General features: G+C 39.2%; 1 long non-coding RNA gene across 3 annotated transcripts in view; it reads right to left on the bottom strand.

Moving 5' to 3' along the window:
- Positions 1–13,829, bottom strand: part of LOC105378071 (uncharacterized) — a 59,237-nt gene extending 45,408 nt beyond the window's left edge. For 2 of the 3 annotated variants that reach the window (XR_943139.3, XR_943140.3), the window contains exons 1-2: positions 13,701–13,829; positions 12,996–13,086 (exon numbers count right to left, since the gene is read on the bottom strand). This is a non-coding gene — a long non-coding RNA (uncharacterized LOC105378071). The remainder of the gene's footprint in view (positions 1–12,995; positions 13,087–13,700) is intronic. The other variant, XR_943136.3, reaches the window with a different exon arrangement.
- Between the last annotated feature and the right edge of the window lie 347 nt (positions 13,830–14,176).

Here is a 14,176-nt window from a genome sequence, read left to right as displayed (position 1 = left end):
ACAGTAAGTCCTTCCTTATCAATAATAACACTGAATGTAAACGGACTCAATTCTTCAGTTAAAAGGCATAGAGTGGCTGAATAAATAAAAAATAAGACCCAACTATATGCTGTCTACAAGAAACCCACTTCATCTGTAAAGACACGTAGACTGAAAGTGATGGGGTTAAAAGAGATATTCCATAGAAGTAGAAACTAAAAAAAGAGCAGGAGTAGCTATATTTACATCAGGTAAAATAGACTGCAAATGAGACATGTAATGAAGAGACAAAGGAGGTCACTATGTAAGGACAAAGTGGTCAGTTCAGCAAGAGGATATAACTATTATAAGTATATATGTACTCAACACCAGAGCTTCCAAGTATGTAGAGGAAACATTAATAGATCTAAAGGGAAAGATAGACTGCAATACAATAATAGTAAGGGACTTCAACACCCTACTCTCAGTAATGGAAAGATCACCTAGAGAGAAAATCAATAGTGAAACATTGGAATTAAACTATAAATAGGCCTAACTGATATTTACAGAACATATCACCTACATACTGCAGAATACACATTCTTTTCATCAGCACATGCAACGTTTTCAGAATAGACCATATCTTAGGCACAAAACAAATCTCAACAAATTCAAAACAGTAGAAATCATATCAAGTAGCTTTTCTGACCACAATATAATAAAACTAGAAATCAATAAAAAGAGGAACCTCAAAAATATAAAACACATGAAAACTAAACAGCATGCTTCTGAATAACCAATGAATCAATGAAGAAATTAAAAAGGAACTTAAACATTTCTTGAAAGAAATGAAAATGGAAATACAAGTTACCAAAATCTATGCGATACAGCAAAAGTGGTACTACGTGGGAAGTTTATAGCAATAGAAACATATCAAAAAAGTAGAAAGACTTCAAATAAACGAGCTAACAATTCACCTCAAGGAACTAAAAAAGCAAGAACAAAGCAAACCCAAAATTAGTGGAAGAAAAGAAATAATAAAGATGAGAGTAGAAACAAATGAAATTGAGGCTAGAAAACACTACAGAATATCAATGAAATAAAAAGTTTGGTTTTCAAAAAGATAAAATTAACAAAGTCTTCGTTAGACTAAGAATAAGGTAGAGAAGACTCAAATAAATAAAATCGGAAATGAGGAATGAGACATAGTAATTGAGAACACAGAAATAAAAATTAGCGACTATTACAAACAACTATATGCTGACAAATTGAAAGTCCTAGAAAAAATAAATTCCTAGACACATACAGCCTACCAAGATCGAACCATGAAGAAATAGAAAATCTCAACAAACCGATAATGAGCAATGAGATCTAAGCCATAATAAAAAATCTCCCATCAATGAAAAGCCCAGGACCTGATGTCTTCACTTTTGAATTTTACCAAACATTTAAAGCACTCATATCAATTCTATTCGAACTCTTAAAAAAAATGAAGAGGAAAAACACTTCCAAACTCATTTTATAAGGCCAGCATTTCTCTGATACCAAAGTTAGATGAGGAAACAACAACAAAAAAGAAAACCACAGACCAATATCACTGATGAACATAGATGCAAAAATCCTCAAGAAAATACCTGCAAACTGAATTTAACACATTAAAAAGGTCATTCACCATGATCAAATGTGATTCATTCCAGGGATGCAAGTATAGTTCAACATTCACAAATTAATAAATGTGATACATTAACAAAACCAAGAACAAAAACCATAGTATTATTTCAACAGATGCCAAAAAACACTCCCTAAAACAACATGCTTTTATGACAAAAACCTTCAACAAACTGGATATAGAAGGAACATATCTCAAAATAATAAAGGTCATATATGACAAACCCACAGCTAACATTGTACTGAACAGGACAAAATTGAAAGCCTTTTCGCTAAGATCTGGAACAAGATAAAGATGCCTGCTTTCATTACTTTTATTCAACATAATTCTGGAAGTACTAGCAAGAGAAAGAAAGAAAATCTAAATTGGAAATGAAGAAGTTAAATTAGTCTTGTTCACAGGCAACATTGTCTTATACTTAGAAAAAACTAAAGACTTCACCAAAAACGATTGGAACTGATAAATTCAGTAAAGTTGCAGGATACAAAGCCAACATATAAAAATTGGTGTCATTTATCTATGCCAACAGTGAACAATCTGAAAAAAATCAAGAAAGCAATTCCATTTACAGTAGCTACAAAGAATATAAAGTACCAAGGAATCAATTTAAACAAAGAAGTGAAAATTTTGTATAAAGAAAAGTATAAAACACTGATGAAAGAAATTGAAGAGGATACAAAAAAAAGGTATTGCATGCTCATGGGATTGAAATAATTAATGTTGTTAAGATGACAATACTAAAATCAATTTACAGATTCAATGAAATCTCTATCAAAATACAAATGACATTCTTGACAGAAACAGAAAAAACAATTCTAAAATTTGTATGGAACCACAAAGGATCCTAAATAGCCAAAGCAATCTCCAGAAAAAAGAACAAAGCTGGTGGCATCACACTACCTGACTTTAAAATATGCTATAAAGCTATAGTAATAAAATCAACACGGTACTGGCATAAAAATAGACCCATAGGCTAAACTGATGGAACAGAATAGAAAACTCAGACATAAACTCATGCATTTTTAGCCAACTCATTTTTGACAAAGGTGCTAAGAACAGACAATGAGGAAAGGGCAGTCTCTTCAATAAATGGGGCTGGGAAAATTGAATAACCATGTGCAGAAGAATGAAATTAGACCCCTATCTTTCAGCATATATAAAAATTAGGAAAAAATTTAAGACCTGAAACTATGAAACTACTGAAAGAAAATGTTGGGGAAACACTCCAGGACATTGGCCTGGGCAAGGATGTTTTGTGTGAGACCTCAGAAGCACTGGCAATCAAAGCAAAAATAGACAAATGGGATTACATCAAGATAAAAAGCTTCTGCACAGCAAAGAAAACAAACAAGAAAGTGAGATAGCAACCCAAAGAATGGGGGAAAAATATCTGCAAACTATCCATCTGACAAGTGATTAATAACCAGAATATATAAGGAGCTCAAACCGCTCACTAGCAAAAAACCCAAATAAACTAGTTAAAAAATGGGCAAAAGATCTGAAGAAACATTTCTCAAAAGAAGATATATGAATGGCCAACAGGAATATAAAAGAAGCGCTCAACATCACTAATCATCAGAGAAATGCAAAACAAAACCACAATGAGATATCACTTCACCCTAGTTAAAATGACTTTTATGAAAGTGACAGGGAATGATGAATTCTGGTGAAGATATGGAGAAAGGGGAACCCTTGTACAGTGTTGGTGAGAATGTAAGTTAGGATAGCCACTATGTAAAACTGTATAGAGTTTCCTCAGAAAACTAAAAAGAGAACTACTATATAATCCAGCAATTCCACTACTGAGTTATATACTCAAAAGAAATCAATATATTGAAGAGATATCTGTACTCCCATGTTCATTACAGCACTATTCACAGTAGCTAAGGTATGGAATCAACCTAAGTACCCATCAATGGGTGAATGGATAAATATTATGTGGCATATATATACAATGGAATGTTATTCACCCATAAAAAAGAATGAAATCTTATTTGCAGCAGCATGGATGGAACTGTAGGTCATTATGTTAAATGAAATAAGCCAAGCACAGAAAGACAGCTATCACATGTTCTCACTCATACGCAGGAGCTAAGAAGTGGACTTCATAAAGAGAGAGTAATTTGGTGGCTACCAGAGGCTCGGAAGGGTAGGGACATGGGGAGTATGAAGAGAGGTTGATGAATGGTTACAAATATACAGTTTGATAGAAGAAATAAGGCCTAGTGTTAGCAAGATCAGTCGGGTGACTCTAGTTTACAGTGATCTATTGTATATTTCAGAACAGGTAGGAAAGAGTAATTTGAATGTTTCTAGCTTAAAGCAAGATAAATATTTAAGGTGGTGGATATTCCAGTTACATTTATCGACTATTTACAAATTATGATGTTATTATTACATGTACCTTGAAAATATGTACATCTATTATGTATCAATGAAAACATTTTTGAAAAGACAGTGTAGTATTGGTAAAAGAATAGACAGATGCATTAATGAAACAGACTAGAAAGCCTAGAAATAGACATAAATGTAGTCAACTGATCTTTGGAAGCAAAGGCAACAGAATGGAGCGAGATAATCTTTTAAACTAATGGTGTTGAAACAACCTAGACATCCACATGCAAAAAAAGGGAAAGTATCTAGACACAAACATAGACCTCACTCTCATCGCAAAAGTTAACCCAAGTGGATCATAAACCTAAACATGAAATGCAAAACTATGAAACTCCTATAAAGTAACATAGGAGAAAATCGAGGTGACCTTGCATATGGCAATGACTTTTTAGATGCCACACCAAAGGCAGGATCTCTGAGAGAAATCACTGATAGGTTTGACTTCATTAAAAATTTGTGCTCTGTAAAATTTACTGTGAAAAGGCTCAGACAAACCACAGACTGGGAGAAAATATTTGCAAAAGACATGTCTGATAAAGGAGTGTTATCCAAAACATACAGAGAACTCTAAAACTCAGCAATGGGAAAACAAACAACCTGACTGAAAAATGAGTCAAATACTTGAACAGACACCTCACCAAAGAAGATATACAGATGGAAAATAAGCATATGAAAAGATGCTCGACATCATATGTCATTAGAGAATTTCGAATTAAAACAGTGAGAAACCACTGCACACTGATTAAAATGGCCAAAATCCAGAACACTGACAACACCAAATACTGGCAAGGGTGTGGAACAAAAGGAATCCTCATTCATTGCTGGAGGGAATGCAAAATGGTACAGCCACCTGGGAGGACACTTTGGTGGTTTTCTACAAAACTAAACATGGTCTTACCATATGATCTAGCAATTGTGCTTCTTGGTATTTACCCAAATTAGTTGAAAAGTGATAGCCACCCAAAAACCTACACACAGATGACTATAGCAGCTCTTTTTGTAACTGCCAAAACTTGAAAACAACCCAAGATGTCCTTCAGTAGGTGAATGGGTAGATAAACTGTGGTATATGCAGACAATGGAATATTATCTAGTGCTAAAAGGAAATGTGCTATCAAGCCATGAAAAGACATGTAGGAAACTTAAATGCATGTTCCTAAGTGAAAAGAAGCTAATCTGAAAAGACTACACATTGTGTGATTCTAACTATGTGACAATCTAGGAAAGGCAAAAAGAATGAAGACAGGAAAAAGATAAGTCGTTTACAGGGGTTAGTTAGGGGAGAGGGACAGATGAATAGGCAGAGCACAGAGGATTTTTAGGGCAGTGAAACCATCCTGTATGATACTGCAATGTTGGGTACATGTCACTCTATGTTCGACAAAACTCATAGAATGTATAGCGCCAAGAGTGAGCCCTAATGTAAGTTATAGGCTTTGGATGAGAATAATGTATTAATGTAGGTTCATTCATTGTATCAAATGTATCATTCTAGCAGGAGATATTTGATAATAGGGGAGACTGTGTGTGTATATGGGGACAGGGAATATATATGAATTTCTGTACCTTCTGCTCAATTTTGTGTGAACCTAAAATTGCTCTAAAAAATAAAGACTTTAAATTTTTTAAATGTTTAATTTAAAAATTTAGATTTTAAAAATGTTTAATTTAAAAAATTATTGTGGTAAAACCCACAAAATATAAAATATACCATCTCAACCATTTTTAAGTGTACAATACAGTAGTGTGAAGTATATGTAAAACCAGAAGGTTTTTTAGGGCTACGTGGTAGATCATGTTGGAGAAGACTCTGACTGTGTAATGGTGAAGCACCAAAAAGAAGTACAAGAAACCAACAAACTTTAAGTGTACCAGGCAGTGATACCTTATTTTGGGGTGAATATTCTGAAAATTGGAGATTGGGCAAGAAAGCACACTCTTCTGGAGATTAAAAGGGAAAAGCTGGCAAATACAGAAGCTGAAACACATTGAACAGAGAGCAGAGGTGCAGACATTTGGCTGTGGTGCCTTAGTAGCCTCGATGCTGAAAGCAGGGAGGGCTTTTGGAAGTATTCTCTGATGCTCCAGAGGCCTTCCCTCTGAGGTTGGGGCCTCTCCCGTGCCACAGGGACATGCAGGTGTGACACGAAGGAAGGCAGGAGCAGGGAAGGGGACATCCTGACTGGGCTGGGGATGGGAGACAGGGCTGCAGAATTTTCCTTTGGCAAAAGAACTCCTCCTCTCCTCAGCTGGGCTGTCAGGGGAAAGGAAGAGGGCAAAGGAGGGACACCAAGATAGGAACTGCTGCTTGTCTCAACGTTACTCTCCCTTCCACTAAATAAGAAAACCTGGAAGAGAGAGAGAGAGAGAGAAGAGACCGACCATGTCTGTTGACTCCACTGCCTCTGTTCTTTCATGTGTGTTTGATATGGTTATGCTTTGTGTCCCCACCCAAATCTCATCTCGAATTGTAATCCCCAGGCATTGAGGGAGGGACCTGGTGGGAGGTGAGTGGATCATGGCGGGTGGCTCCCCCATGCTGTTCTCATGATAGTGAGTAAGTGCTCATGAGATCTGGTGGTTTTATAAGCGTCTGGTAGTTCCTGTCTTGCTCCCTCTTCTCCCTCCTGCTGCCTTGTGAAGAAAGTCCTTGTTTCCCCTTCACCTTCTGCCATGATTGTAAGTTTCCTGAGGCTTCCCGAGCCATGTGGAACTGTGAGTCAATGAAACCTCTTACCTTTATCAATTACCCAGTCTCAGGAAGGTCTTTATAGCAGTGTGAGAATGGACGACTTTAGTCATCATAGGTGGCTTTTGGGAGGTGACAACGATTACTGCACTGTGCTTTGTGCTGGGATGCAGTGGTGAAGAGCAACCTTTCAGAAGGGCACCACAGGGTCTAGGAGTAACTGCCTGAACGGGAGAGGGCTCAGCATGCTGGGAAAGCCCCAGGAGGGGGGCTGCAGGGACACAGTCTACTCTTAGGGAAGGAGGCACTGTCCATGCTGAGTCCTGTGGCATGAGTGGGATGCCAGTGGAGGGGGAGTGCCAGTGTGCAGCCAGTTGTGAGGAGTAAGGTGTAGGGCAGCAGGAGGCCTGGGCTGCCTCTCAGAAGGGTAGAGCTCCATGCTCTATCTATCTAGAGGGTGATGATGCAAAATGTCCAGGGAATGACTTTGGTTTAGGTGTTTTTTTTTGTTTTTGTTTTTGTTTTTGTTTTTTAAAATAAAAGCGGTTCTAGTATATTATCTAATGGTAGAGAAACTCCTACTGGGGTTCTTGAATTGGGTCTCACATAGAGCTCAAGTTGTAATTGAGAATGCATGAATCTGTCTGAAGGGGAAGAAAGAAAAATCCCCTTAACATCCATAGTACGGAACCCTTCTGGCTTTGAGCCTCATCTGAACTTTTCCAGGTCCCATGTGCCCTGACTTCACTGTGTGTTCTTTGCTTCACTCTGTTATCTGGGTCCAAAGCCAGCCCTGCCTTTCCTGTCACGGGAATCCACTCTTCCTTCACCATTTGAAGAGCTCATAGAAAGAGAGGTGGAATCTTTAATGCCAACGGTTTAAAATTCCTTCACCGAATGAGGTGGGGGTTGCCCAGTCGAGTCTCTCCCTCTCTCCTCCTCTTCCTCCTCCCTGCCTCTCTCTTCCCATCAGTTCTGTGGCACCAGTAGTTTGAGTTCCTGAATGCCCCGCCAATAACACTTCCTTGCACATCTCTCAAAGTTCATGCACAAAGTGTGCTGGCAGCGTCTTTTAAAATCCTAACCAGGAAGGGGTGCCAGGACTGCAAATGAGTCTTTCCTACATGTGGCTGAAGGCTAACCTCGCTTTCAGAGGCAGCCTGAAGCCAAGATAACTCTTGGCTGCCCAGAGCGAGATTTCCCCGTGTGTTGTTGACAGTGAACACATCAGCGCACAGCACTTGCTGACATCGAGGATGCAAATGTAGGAAAAGGAAGACCAGGAGGCTGCTGACTGGGGAGCTCAGAGCAGGCCAGATGATTGTGCAGCCTAGTGAAGTATGTTTACGTGGATAATTAATACTGGAGAAACAGTACGGCCAGAGTCTCCCACGAGAGAACACTGTCAGTTGCCTTATCATTTTTTCTTTTCTAACCAAATTGATGGGCCAGTCGGCTGCCTTTCTGGATCCACATGGATGGCGAAACTGCAAACAAGTTTCATTTAAATAATGGGCAAATCTTCTAATTAGTTAGAGTTTAATCCCCACGCCTTAAAAATGACAAACTGCTCTTACCACTACCTTTGTTTGTTGAAAAGATAAAATGGGGGGTGTGGGAACCAAATAAAAACATTGAAAAAAATTTAGAAGCACAGATTTGATTGTACGTTAATCTAGGAGGAGCTTTACAAGTCAATAATTGTCATAAAGATTCATTGGTCAACATTTAAGGCCTAATTATATATATATATATATATATATATATATATATATAGAGAGAGAGAGAGAGAGAGAGAGAGAGAGAGAGAGAGAGAGATGGTTTTATTCTTAGAGTGTATACATGCGTTTTCTGACTATTGGAATATTTTGATTTCTCTAAAATCAAACAGGAGTTCTCAGGAAAGGAGGAGCTGTGGCTTATATACATAAGTAGGCATTTAGAAATAAGCACATTAAAATGAATGTATCATCTATATGTTTTAGTGTTTCTGCTACTGATGAAATTGAATGAATCCTCTACTGGATAACTATTTTAATCCTTGTTTAGAAATCATTCCTAAATATGGCCGGGCGCAGTGGCTCATGCCTGTAATCCCAGCACTTTGGGAGGCCGAGGCAGGTGGATCATGAGGTCAAGAGATCGAGATCATCCTGGCCAACATGGTGAAACCCCGTCTCTACTAAAAATTCAAAATTAGCCAGACATGGTGACGCATGCCTATAATCCCAGCTACTCGGGAGGCTGAGGCAGGAGAATCACTTGAACCCAGGAGGTGGAGGTTGCAGTGAGCCAAGATGGCACCACTGCACTCCAGGCTGTCCAGGCTGGTGACAGAGAGAGACTTTATCTCAAAATAAATAAATAAATAAATAAAAATAAAATAATTCCTAAATATGTAAGAACAAATCACATTTAGCATGTTCATTCATTATTCTGTCACCTATCCAGCAAGCAATTATTGAACATCTGGTATGTTGCAGGCCCTCTTCAAGAAATTTAGCTAAAAGTAAAAAATGCCTGTCCTCAAGGAGACTTGTGTGCAAATAAGTGATTGTCATATATGAATTGCCTCAAGTCGCTAATATACTGTGTCTTATGTGATCTCCTTAAAGTGCAAATTCCAAGTTAGGAGGTCTGGAGTCATGCTTAAGCTTCCATAGCCCTAGCATGCTTACAAGCAATGCTGGGGCCCATTCTTGGAGGACAAAGTCCCAGCAAAAGTTGCTATAGGAGAAGGGAAAGAAGAAATGTACTTCGGTGGTGGGGGTGGGGCTAGGCCGGGCTGGTACCAGGAAGTGGCTCCTGGAAGAGCGTAGAGGTGGGTGGTGAACAGGAACAAGACTTGTTGGGATTCCTGGGAAGGAGCATGTGTCCACACCTTCCAGCCTCAGTCCTAGGGGTGAAAGAGAGCCCTGTGTTTAGAAAACTGCAGTTATCTTGAGATGGCTAGAGGGTAACTTCCTAGGTTATCAGTTCAACGCACCAATATATTCACTCCCCTCCTCTGTCTGTCTCCCCGACCCAGCCTGCCCACATACATACACTTAGTTTCTTGAGCTAGTTGGAATTGATTTCCAGGCTCCTGAAAAAGTGGGTATATTTGGGAAATCTCGAGCCATGGAGCCAGCAAGCAGTCAGAGGCTACAAAAAGTGTTGTGTTTTCTTTGTGAGAGGACTGAATTTATCTTAACAGTAATAGAAAGCTTTGAAGAATTTTAAGTAGCTGAAACAACTGGTGTTTTGTGTGTGTGCATGCATTTTAACCTTCAACGCCAAATGAGGAAACAGTTCCACTTGTGTTTCCCTTGGATTTGATATTGAAGTTTAATTGATCCATTTAGAGAGAAAGGGTTAACAGAAGAGGACGGGTGATCCTGGCCAAATACAGACCAAACCACACCATACAACTAGGGCCATTGCATCTGTGCTCTTAATCTCATTTTCCTTCTTGTGAAATCTGTTTTGTTTGAAACTTCCATCTGAAAGCCTTCACCTTTGATGCACCTTCATCCAAAGCCTCCATACAGGGTGTCTTGTCTCTGAGCCCTGCTTGTTCCCCCTAGGGTACACTGGGTCAGTGTAAATTTTCCTCAAATACTGTGTTTTTTGAAAAATCCCTTTACTCTCCTGGCCCAATCTCTGAGTGACTTCTTTCTGTTTAATATGCTTAACCCAGCCTCTCAGCCAGGCACTCCAAGTGCTCCCTAAACTTTTCCTCCACTTCCCCTTCTCCAGCATCATCTCTCAATACTCTGGGCCCTTTCCACTCCAACTCAGCTGTTTGACTTCACTGTCCCTTCCCGTGTCTTGCCAGACCCTGCTTTAATTTCCTTCCTTCTCTTCCACTCTCTATTGTAACTTCTGCTGCCAGCAAACATCTATGGAAAGCCTGCCATGTGGTGAGGTGGCCTGCAAGGTATTTTACCTTCATGATCACATTAGTCCTCATGGTCATCCCATGGAGTCAGTACTGTCATGTCACTCATTTTACATCTGGGGCAACTGAGGCATAGAGTGTTTATATTACTTACCCAAAGTCACAAGACTACACATCAAAAGGTGGCAGAATCTGAATTCAAGTTTAGGTCACTGGCTCTCCAGAGCTGGTGTTTCTTAACCACCAACCATTCTCCTCTCTTCTATGTCAGGCTCCGCCTTTGCTTACACAGTAAGTTTTATATGAAAGGTCTTTCTCTTCTTTGTTTAATCTTTGTCCCCTTTGCCCTTCAAAATTTGGCTTCCAAGAAGCTTTCTTACCTAACGACATCCCATTCTGATCCTTCTTACATTCCGTATCCCTCTGCTCTCTCCAGTCTTGTGCCCCAGCCTGCATTGCTCAATCCGTAGCTGTCCCCTGGTTGTTTTATCTGCCATGTCTTATCTTGTCACCTCTACTATGCCTTTGACTGTTTTTATACACACACATTGCTTAGATTGATATGTGTCCAGTACTTGTCAAATAAACACTCTTGACGCTGATACTTCCTCTTATGCATTCATGGTGGGAAGGTTGGGGGAAAGCAAAACCTGTCTATAAAATTCATATATTTCATATATATATATATATATATATATATATGTATATCTCATCCATCTAGATTTGCACTGGGTGGGTTTGTCCTCAAAGTGTGATCCATAGACCCTTGGAGGTCTCCAAGACCACTTAAGGGGGAGGGGTCTGGGGGCAAAACTGTTTTCATAATAACATTAGATGTCATTTGCCCTTTTCATTTTTTTGACATTTCTACTGATGGCGCAAAAGCAGTGATAGGACAGAACTGCAGGAGCCTTTGTATGAATTGGGGAAGTGGCCTCAAGCTGTGGGAGTATGCATGGTATTCACACCACCGAGCACCCACAGTAAAAAAATTTTAAAAAAGACAATGCCAGCTTCACTTAAGTATGTCCCTGATAAAGCAGTGAAATGATTAATTTTATTAAACTTTAGACCTTGAGTACACATATTTTTAATATTATGTGCAAAAAAGTGGGAAGTGCGCATAAAACATTTCTGCCACACCATGCGGTACAGTGGCTGCCTGGATGCAAAGCACTGTGTGATTGAGTTGTGAGCTGAACTAGTTGCTTTTTTCATGAAACACTATTTTTTACTTGAAAATGTCTGACAGACAAACTGGTTATTCAGGCTTGGGTATTGGCAGACATTTTCTTTTAAAAACGAATGAAGGGAGCCTGTCACTTCTAGTAAAACAACTGACAGTATTTGTTGCCAATGATAAAATCTGAGCTTTCAAGTGAAAATTAGAATTTTGGAAAACTTGTGTCTGCCACTACAAGCTTGACAGGTTCTCAATGCTTAAAGGCTTTTTTGGTGAGGTTGGTGGTGGTATTAATGCACATTGGTTTTTTTGATATTATGTAATGTCCACAATTATGTATGTATGTCAACAGTTATGTACATATGTAATGTATGTCAACAATAAAAATATTTGTATAAATTAATGAACAGATATTTTCAAAATATGCATGAGTAAAAGATCCATTCAAAGTACAGAATAGACAGATGGACTTTAAGTAGGAAAAAATTTATCAACATAGCTTCAGATTCCATATCACTACTAACCTTATAAAACCGCCACTTGTTGACTTTTGGCATAGTATCGAAGAACATTCACAATTATCTGAAAAGGCTAAAATATTCTGCCCTTTCCCAATTACACATCTGTGTCAAATTGTATTTTATTCATGTGCATCCATGAAAACGGATATCTCAACAGATCAAATGCAGAAACAGAAATGAGAATTCAGCTGCATTCTAAGCAGATATTAAAGAGATCTGAAAAATTGTTACACAATGAAATTCTTATCACTATTTTCTGTTCTAGAAAATAGCTATTTTTATAAGATTACGTTATTTATGGCAATCTGCAATAGATTATTGTTTTTAAAAAATGAAGTAAAAGTATTTTCAGATTTATTCACTTAAATTTCTAATACGTGAAATATCAGTGGAAATAATCCACATGAACAAAAAGCTCTCTGAAGTCCTCAGTAATTTTTTAAGAGTTTGAAAGGGTCTTGAAACCAAAAATTTTGAGAACCATTGTACACAGATGTGGAGATCGATTTGGGAAAGGATAAATGTTGTTGCTTTCTCTATCTTCCACTTGTGAACAAGTGTCGTCAACTTTACCTAGCTGCTCAAGCCTGAAGCCTAGAAATCATCCATTGTCCTTTCTCTATCCCTCATTCCTCACCATAAATTACCCAGTTCTGTTGGCTCCACTTTCTAAATATAGTTTTAAAAATGCATCCACTTACCCGTTTCTACTTCCACCATCGTGGTCCAGATCACATGAGGAAGGTTGCCGAAGTAGCCTCCAATTTTTTCATGCCTCCCTGTCTCCAAGCCCTAGAATAGTTTTGTCCTATGATGACTCTGAGCTTGGCTATGTGACTTGCTTTGGCCAATGGGCTGATAGCTAGCATGACAAGGAGAGACTTGACAATTGCTAGTTTTGGGGACTTGTTCTCTCTCACTGCTTTTGGAGCCCAGCAACCACCACAATATGAACTGACTTAGATGATAAGAGACATGAGGCTCAGTCTCCCTCATCACTTCCTCAGCTTGGTGACTGGCAGTTGACTATAGATAGATGAGTGAGCCCTGCTGAGATCAGTGGAAGACACACCCAGCTGAACCCAGCCCACATTGTTGACTCCCAGAATTATGAACTAAAATATGATTGTGCTTTAAGCCTGTACATTTTGGAAGTAGTTTGTCAAGAAGCAAGCGCTAATTGATACACCACCGTCATTCCAGGTGTGGATTACTACAGTGCCCTCTTCACTATCTTGCACCTTCCAATTCTCCTTCTCCCTCTTCTGGGTTCTCCTTCATACTGTAGCCCAAACGATCTTTTAAAACATCAGTTCCATCATGTTAACCTCACTAGATAACAGCCTTCAGTGTCCCTGCATTGCATGTAGGGTGAAGGCCAAGCTCCACACCTTGATGTGGCTTACCAGGCACATGCTGGTCTGGTCCCTGACGATCTTTTGGTGAGCTCATCTATTTCATGCTGTCTTGCACTCTGCCATGTGGCCACCTTCTCTCCTTAAGCATGGCCGCTTCTTTCTCACTCAGGAATATGCACTTGCTGTTCTGTTTGCCTGGCTTGCATTCCCTCTGGCGATTTGCCTGGCTGGCTTGTTTTTTTTTTCCAGTCTTCAGGCCAAAATTTCCCCCCTGCTGTGATACCTTCCCTGACCACGTTATCTAAGTACTGTTCCCGCTCTTCCCTTATAAACAGCTCATAGATTCACCTAGTGTTTATCTCCTATTTGTTGACAGTTTGTCTTCTTTGTGCGCTGATAAGTTTCTAGCTCCTAGACCAATGCCTGGCTAATAGTAGAAGTTCAGTAAACACTTAACAGATGAGTAGGGAAAGAGGACTGAATCTCTCAGGGCTGGTCTTACAGGTGGCTACATTAAGGGCATA

Source organism: Homo sapiens, chromosome 6 (genome assembly GCF_000001405.40).
Source record: "Homo sapiens chromosome 6, GRCh38.p14 Primary Assembly".
NCBI lineage: Eukaryota > Metazoa > Chordata > Mammalia > Primates > Hominidae > Homo > Homo sapiens.
The sequence above is the reverse complement of the archived record's forward strand: the minus strand, read 5'-3'. Positions and strand labels throughout refer to the sequence as shown.